Source organism: Homo sapiens, chromosome 10 (assembly GCF_000001405.40).
Source record: "Homo sapiens chromosome 10, GRCh38.p14 Primary Assembly".
NCBI classification, from domain to species: domain Eukaryota; kingdom Metazoa; phylum Chordata; class Mammalia; order Primates; family Hominidae; genus Homo; species Homo sapiens.
In genome coordinates this window covers 49,979,413-49,988,138 of record NC_000010.11, presented here as the reverse complement: position 1 = coordinate 49,988,138, position 8,726 = coordinate 49,979,413, and the positions used below count along the sequence as shown (strand labels likewise).

General features: G+C 42.5%; 1 long non-coding RNA gene and 1 pseudogene across 7 annotated transcripts in view; one reads left to right on the top strand and one right to left on the bottom strand.

Moving 5' to 3' along the window:
- TIMM23B-AGAP6 (TIMM23B-AGAP6 readthrough (NMD candidate)) overlaps positions 1 to 8,726 on the bottom strand; it is a 68,464-nt gene that overhangs the window by 22,378 nt on the left and 37,360 nt on the right. For 2 of the 7 annotated variants that reach the window (NR_158660.1, NR_158658.1), the window contains one exon: positions 905 to 974. The exons of the other annotated variants lie outside the window; for them this stretch is intronic. This is a non-coding gene — a long non-coding RNA (TIMM23B-AGAP6 readthrough (NMD candidate)). The remainder of the gene's footprint in view (positions 1 to 904; positions 975 to 8,726) is intronic. 7 annotated transcript variants of the gene reach the window in all.
- On the top strand, positions 8,359 to 8,474 carry RNA5SP317 (RNA, 5S ribosomal pseudogene 317; annotated as a pseudogene).

Sequence of the window (8,726 nt, the reverse complement as noted above, 5' to 3'; positions counted from 1 at the left end):
CTTCCTGAGATTTTAGTCCTAAGAAAAGCACAGGGTAGTTCATTCCTTGAAGCCATCTTCCTCTATGAGTTCTATACAAAGCCTCAGTAGAGTGGGTCCCATTAGCAACCAAGTTGAACAACTTTTATTTGCTGACTGAATATAGATACACCTGAATTGTTGACTGCTTTTGTAACTAAACACTCCTCTCCTGTCTTCCAACGAGTGGTCATTTTTGTCCGCAACTTGACCACAGCAATCCCTGGGGCCCTAGCTCTACTCTCAATAAAGAGTTATGGCTGTGTGTTTTGAATGACACCTTAGGACCCATCCTGCCTCCACCTCCTTCTCCATAAAATAGAAACCTAACTTGCCCCTCCAAGCTCTGAAATGCTGAAACTTACCAACTCCCTTTTCTCCCCGCTATTTCTTCCTTCCATGGCAGGGACTTTCAGGTTTTCTTTCTTTTACTAACAAGGCACTAAGCATGATTTTCTCATACACAATCGAGAGCCATAAAGTGGCTTACCACAGTCCTATTTCAATAAAGAGGAATACTCGACATCTGGCAAGTAGTGTGTGCCTGACAGTGTCCCCACTGTGCTATGCTCATTTAACCCTCAGAAACAATCTCATGTTACAGATTTTACAGAAGTTGTTGAGACGGAGAAGGTAAGTAACCTCCCCAAGGTCACATGACTGCTAAGGGTGGGGCCATAGTTTGATCCCAGCTAGTCTGAATTCCCCAATTGCTTAAGCATGATTATCAGAAAGTATAGCAGTCTGTTTTCACACTGATAAAGAAATACCTGAGGTTGGGTAATTTTTAAAGGAAAGAGGTTTAACTGACTCAGTTTCACATGGCTGGGGAGGCCTCAGGAAACTTACAATCATGGCAGAGGGGGAAGTCCTTCAGGAAACTTACAATCATGGCAGAAGGGCAGGTCCGACTTACATGGTGGCCGCACAGAGAGTGGGAACATGTGAAGGAGCAACTGTCAAACAAGTATAAAACCATCAGATCTCAGCTGGGCACGGTGGCTGACACTTGTAACCCTAGTACTTTGGGAGGCCAAGGCAGGTGGATCAACTGAGGTCAGGAGTTTGAGACCAGCCTAGCTAATGTAGTGAAATCCTGTCTCTACTAAAAATACAAAAATTAGCTGGGTGTGGTGGTGCATGCCTGTAATCCCAGCTACTCAGGAGGCTGAGGCAGGAGAATCACTGGAACTCAAGAGGCAGAGACTGCAGTGAGCCAAGATCGTGCCATGGCACTCCTGCCTGGACAACAGAGCAAGACTCCATCCCAAAAAACAAAACAAAACAAAACCCTATAAGATCTCATGAGGACTTACTGAATATCACAAGAACAGCATGAGGATAACTGCCCCCGTGATCCAATCACCTCCCCCTAGGCCCCTCACTCGACACATCAGGATTATGGGGATTATAATTCATGATGAGATTTGGGTGGGGGCATGGCAAAACCATATCAGAAAGTAAAGGTAGAAGTCAAGCTTGGATGGGAAATGACATTGTAGATGATGATGATGATGATGATGATGATGATGATGATTATTTTGAGATGAAGTTTTGCTCTTGTTGCCCAGTGAAATTGTTTCTCTAATTTCATTTTCAGATTGTGTCTTGTAGATGTATAGAAATACAATTGATAAATGATTCTGGCTATTAACCTTTTATGCTTCAACCTTGCTGAACACTATTTTTTTTTTTTTTTTGAGACGGAGTTTCTCTCTTGTTGCCCAGGCAGGAGTGCAATGGCATGATCTTGGCTCACTGCAACCTCCGCCTCCCGGGCTCAAGCGATTCTCCTGCCTCAGCCTCCCAAGTAGTTGGGATTGCAGGCATGCGCCACCATGCCCAGCTAATTTTGTATTTTTAGTAGAGACGGGGTTTCTGCACGTTGGTCAGGCCCGCCTCAGCCTCCCAAAGTGCTAGGACTACAGGCATGAGCCACCGTGCCCAGCCAGATTCGTATATTTTTAAAAGAATTTTTTTTTTTATTTTTTTTGAGACAGAGTCTCACTCTGTTGCCCAGGCAGTGGCACAATCGTTGCTCACTGCAACCTCCACCTCCTGGGTCCAGGTGATTCTCATTCAAGTGCCTAAGCCTCCCAAGTAGCTGGGATTACAGGAGCCCAACCCCATGCTCAGCTAATGTTTGTATTTTAGTAGAGATGGAGTTTCACCATGTTGTTCAGGTTGATCTCGAACTCCTGACCTCAGGTGATCCACCTGCCTTGGCCTCCCAAAGTGCTGGGATTGCAGGCATGAGCCACCACTCCCGAACAGAACAACATTTTTTTGATGTGGATTTTAAAATGCCTCCCCTTCTTTCAACATTGATTAAGTCCCTTCTACATGCCAGGCACTGTATGTGTGAAATAGTCCCAACTCTCAATGAGTGTAGGCAGATACACAAACAAAGCCTTAAGGAGGTCAGTTTTCTGAGACCATACTGCTGGACAGTATATGAACCTGGGATACAAACCCACCTCTATTTGACCTCAAATTTGATGCTGGGGTGGTTTTAATTTTATTCTGGGAATTTCAGTCATTGAACCATGAAAAGGTGAAAAGTCTCTGTCAGATGTGTGTGTAGTGGTCTGTACAATAAGGACTGAAGGAAGCAACCAAACAAATTAAGAGACTTTCTCTAAAGGCAGAGTAATGCTAAGGGCAGTGGCAGTGACAAAAGCGGAGGAAAAAGTCTATGATCATTTGGGAGACAGAATAGGAAGTGCTTGGTCATGAGATGTGAAAGAAGAGGGGAAGTAGAAGGAAAACAGAGCTGCTCAGGCTCTGCTGGGGAAGACTGGGTATGTAGCAGTGCCTTCCTCCTGGCCGAGAATGTAGGAAGAGAAATAGGTAAGGAGGAAAAGATAGTTTTTTACTCTCAGTGTCACATTAAAATGGAACTCTCTGGTCAAAAGTTGAATATAAACCTCTGTAGGCTAAGTCCATTTGTGACATCCCAACATATGTTTTCAAAAATAACATACATACTAAATCAAGCCATTAAGCGTAACTGGGGAAATTTCCTAAAATTTACATGCTAAAAAAATCACCATTTTTCATTTATTACTTTCATGGAGCAACTTTGAATCTATGGTTACAGCAAGTGAGGCACCTTGTATAAAATAAAGCTAATACATGAAAAAAAAGCCATTTAAAATTCTATTGTTCTCAGAGAATGGAGAAAGCAATTGAAGCCATGGGTGTGGAGGTGACTGCCCTGAGAAGTTGTGTATAGTAAGGAGAACTGGGAAGAAAGAAGACCTGGAGAATAGGGTGATTTGCACGGCATTAAGTGAAGCTTGCAAAAGTGAGCAATGAGACTCAAGAGACCTGCATATGAATCAGGAATGGCTGCTCCTGTGAGTTGTTAGAAAGGAGATGATGCCTTCTTTTCATATCTATAACAGCAGCACCTAGCACAGTGCCTGTTCAATAGGTACTCAACATGTATTATCCCAATGCAGAGTCAAATTTTGCCAGGAGGGCAGGAAAGCTACAAATTAGCTATGGCAACTTAGTGACTGGGCTTGTGTGTGTGTGTGTGAGCGAGCTGGATGTCAGGCAGTGGGTAAAGTAGTGAACTGGAGGTGAGAAAACAATGACACAAACTCAGGGCTTCTCTTCCCAAGTATTTGGCTGAGAAGAGAGATGTAGTATTAAAGGGAGATATGTGGTAAAGGAAGACTTTTATTCCAAGATTCAACAAAAGCGTGAGTATACTTCTATGTTAAAGGGAAAGAGCCAACAGAGAAAACACATTTTTGAGGTTAGAAGAGAAGGAAGAACTAATGCAGAAGGGCCCCAAAAGGCACAGGTGCCTGCAATCCGGATCAGGGACAGATTAGCTTTGGACTCCTACAAAAGCAAGAAGGGAGAAAGGACCATGTGACTCTAGAGATATTTCTGGTAAAGGAAAGGTTTAGGAAAAGATCTTTTGATGACCTTTATTTTAACAGACTTTTTTTTTCTTTTTGAGATGGAGTCTTGCTCTGTCACCCAGGCTGGAGTGCAGTGGCACGATCTCGGCTCACTGCAACCTCTGCCTCCTGGGTTCATGCCATTCTCCTGCCTCAGCCTCCTGATTAGCTGGGACTACAGGCACCCGTTACCATGTCCAGCTAATTTTTTGTATTTTTAGTAGAGACGGGGTTTCAACGTGTTAGGCAGGATGGTCTCCGTCTCTTGACTTCGTGATATGCCCGCCTCGGCCTCCCACAGTCTGGGATTACAGGCGTGAGCCACTGCACCCGGCTAGACTTTAAAAAAAAAAACAAAAAAACAAAACAAAAAAACAAAACTACTGTGGGAAAAAGGATATTATGTATAGAAAAGTCTACACTTCTTGATACAACTAACTAAAAAAAGCCTGATACACTAAACAAAACCCAAATAATGTCTTCCCTAAAAGTGGGTAACTTGAAAAGCAATTCGAGCAAAAATCAAGGAGTTCAATTATAAATAAGTATATCAACAAAGTGAAAGATGGGTTTAATTTTTCCCACAAAAAGTTAAAAGAAATAACAGCAGGTTTAGAGGAAGAGGAAAAAATAATAAGAAAATTATATGCAGTTGCAAAATGTGTGACTATTTACAAACTCTAACATATAACTACAAAACGGACCAGAAGAATCATTATCATAGGAAGCAAAGGGTCATTTCAAAAATCAGAGGAGGGATGATTCATATTTAATTTAATTCTGTGGAAAAAATTTAAGTAATGTTTGAGGACAAAAATAGGTGATGTGTTGAAATGCGGGAAACCACAGTGGAAGGAAAAATAATTCAAGAAAGCTCAGTTTCAGTAACCAGTATCTAGTAAAATCTTCAGGACCTAGAGGGTACAATCTGCATTAATAGTGTCTGAAGACCTAGAAATGTCATTAAATACCATTTTGGATAATTCTTGTAGACTTGAGATGATGTCTATTTAAAGTTACAAAATAGTGCCCATATTTCTGTATTCATTACAGAAAACAATTGGATATGGAAAAGAAACTATCATGCTATGCCACAATCTCTAAAGAAAGATTAGGGAAGTTTCAGCTTAAAGCAAGAATAATCACAATAAAGTTTTACAACCCTTTGCAAGCATATATGAAAAACTTACAAAAAGTTTGTAATGATCTTTTCTTAAGCTAAGAGAACAGAAAAAATGAGAAAAATTAAATTATAAAATGAAACTTTGGTTTAGAGGTAAGAAACATTTGATGACAGTCAAGAGATCAGGGTTGTACAGTGTATTATGTGAATGTTGTGACTCATTGGTTTCATCTTGGATATCATAACTTGACATTTTGTAAAAGTGATTTTTCATGGGAGTTTCTTCAGGTGCCCTATGAAGTCCTGTCCCTTTAGAAGCGAATAATAGTCTTCCACATTCTTGAGATATCTTAATGAATAACATCTTCTACAGTCTTCCATTGTTTAGACCTTGGAGAGACACTCATTAGTGACTGTTAAGGTACCTGAGTTATTAGGTGCCTGTAGACTATGCCCAGTGATATGTGCATTAGGTACATGCTCCCTAGCTGTGCTGACACTGACTGAAGCTGTGAGGTTTCACAATGACATGTCAGCCAAATACATATGCTCAGATTCACCATTTATCAAGAGGTCTTCACACTATCAATTGTGCAATTATCATTCTACACACAGGCAGTGATAAACGGAGTAAAAAACCACAGCCATGGATCGGGAGACCAAGGTACCTCCAGAGGAGTCCAGTGGGTCCAGAAGCCCTTTGGATGTTGGTCAGAGGCTCCTCTTGGGCAGAGATCACAGCAGCAGCCAACAGGTCTGGAGAAGTCCTTAGAGTTCTCATGGACAAAGTTTGTGAAGGCATCTTAGACAAGATCTTGTCTTTGCTGGTTTTATGATCCTCTGCAGATGGGTCTATTCTCATTACCTCAGCCACCTTTCACTTCCTATCAGTTCAGTTCAGGTCTCTCATGATCCCAGGCAGCAGTAGTTGTTATCACGTGAGTTCATTCATATATGTTTATCTCTGGGGATGGGGGGACAACTTCACTGTGGACTTAATTCTACTGGAGATGAGTGACCCCATTTTAAGACAACAGGATCACAAATTATTATCACATATCAGCAGGGCAGACAATAGCTACGACCTGGGGCTGAAAGCAGGTAACTCCATTTATTCTGCAAAAATTCTGTCTTGATTATGGTGCCAGTTGCTGTGAGGGATTTCCTTTCTAGAACCTGTTTTTCACAAGGTTTGAGTCTGAACTGTTAACATTCTACTGATTTCTGGGTGAAGTGACTGACTGCACCATCCTAGCCTGTCAGAGCACTTGCCCCAATACTTCCACTTTAAGAGTTTTCCACCTTGTCCAGAACTACAGTCCACTAATCCCCTCATTTTCTCTCTTAAGAGAATAAACAGGCCAGGTGCGGTGGCTCACGCCTGTAATCCCAGCACTTTGGGAGGCTGAGGCGGGTGGATCATCTGAGGTCAGGAGTTCGAGACCAACTTCGCCTACATAGTAAAACCTCATCTCTACTAAAAAAAAAAATCACAAAAATTAGCCGGGCGTGGTGGCAGGCACCTGTAATCCCAGCTACTCGGGAGGCTGAGGCAGGAGAATCCCTTGAACCTGGGAGGCAGAGGTTGCAGTGAGCCAAGACTGTGCCACAGAACTCCAGCCTGGGCGACAGAGTGAGACTCCCTCTCAAAAAAAAAAAAAGAGAGAGAGAGACAGAGAATAAACAACCCATGTCAAAAACACACCCACATCCCTCTTATCCCAAATACCAAACACACAAAAATCCAATCTGTCTCCTTCTACCTAAGCAATTGCAGATAGTCACTTTCCCATAATTACCTTAAGCTCCCTGACTTGCTGCTCGTCCTTTCTCTGGCAAAATCTCATCCTTGGATGAGCCCGACTTTGTGTTTGCTCAATGACACTACTCACCTGAACCAGAAAAAATATCAAAAAGTGGTCAGAGATATCATCATAAATTCAAATTACTTACATAAAAAATTGGCCCTAAATGTTTCCAGAAATCAATAAAAGTTTTGTTTCTCCAAACACATCATTTCTTCAGAAACCCAACGTGTATAACCTGTTTTTTCTATGTTCTTCTAACATTCATTCAATTTCTCTCATCTGATATCTTGCCAAATCATTCAAAGAGAAAATATATCCCATTAGTCAAGAGCCAACCATATTCCCATCACCTGAGAAAATCATATGCACAGGATGCGCCCACCTCACCTTTCTCTGCCTCATCATGTCAGAAAAAGTACCCCTCCTTTTGTCACAAGGCAAACCTGAGATAAAAGATTTAGATGGCCTGTAATTCCAGCACTAAGGGAGGCCAATGCATGCAGATTATTTGAGTCTAAAAAAGAAGCCTAAGCAACTTAGGGAAACTGCATCTCTCAAACAAATACAAACCATTAGCCTAGCATGGTGGTGTGGTGGCACATGCCTATAGTCCCAGCTACTCAGGGTGGGGAGCACTGAGGTGGGAGGATCACCTAAGCTGGAAGGTTGTGGCTGCAGTGAGCCGTGATCACGTCACTGCACTCCAGCCAGGGTAACAGATATTTTTAAAAGGATCTTCTCTGTTAAAAATAATCAAATAAACAGGTGGCCATGAGGCTGAGGTGGCTGCAGTGCACTCAATTCCTCCTTAAATAACCCAAAACTTGACTCAGTGTAAATAATAAAAGGAAACTTAAGTTTAACCAGTCAGAAACCACCAACTAACATCTAACTAGAGACTTTCCACTGTAATGTTCCAAATGAGGCCACTGCTCCACTTTACCCAATCAAGTATTTTCTTTTTCTTCCACATTCACCATATAAAATTCTTCCCCCACCCTCCCTCTCTGTTGGAACTCTGAGCTGCTTGCAGTCTGGAGCTGCCTAGTTTATACATTTCTGAATGCTCAAATATATTTTCTAATGTTTCAAAGTGGCTCTGGTGTAGGAGGTTATTGGTGGAGTGACCTGAGAGTGTACAGGAATTGAGGCCATATGAGATCTCTGGACCCTGTACTCCATTTTGCTGTACACTCAATACTACTCTAAAATAATAATATATCTTTAAAAATCTATAACTATCACGTAGCCCTTTTCAAGTCTCCAACTGGTTGGAGCCAGTTCGATTAAAGCTCAGAAAAAACTGGTTAATAAGCTAGTTCTGACCCAACTGGCAAGAAGCGGCAGGAAAGACCCAGGCCACGGGAGTATATTGCACATGCATGCACCAGGAAACTGGAGGAAGCTTGGAGGCCCTTTAGCCTGGTCCTGAGCCCGCTGAAACTGCAGTTACAGGCACAGATGTCTGGGGCACCAATCTGAATCTGCCAACATCCAAGGCCACATGAACACAAATGCGCAGTCTCCTCTGCGATCGGTAGCTAAGGATGTTAGGCCATGATTGGACTAGGATGGGAGATGAACTGAGAACTCTGGATTCTGTAGGTTGTTGTTGTCTCTTCCCACACCCAAGCAACAAGTGATGAACACACACACACACACACACACACACACACACACACACATCCCGTAGTGACTAACAGGATCTCCCTCCAGGGGATTTGCAGGAAGGGGAGCAGAAAACATCCCAGGGGCCTTTCACAGCTACTTCCTTGAGCCCCCTTTCAGACAGTGCTGTCTAGACCTGTCTCAGCCCAAGCATCACCACCCTGATATGCAGAAGCTGGCATCCTTACCTGA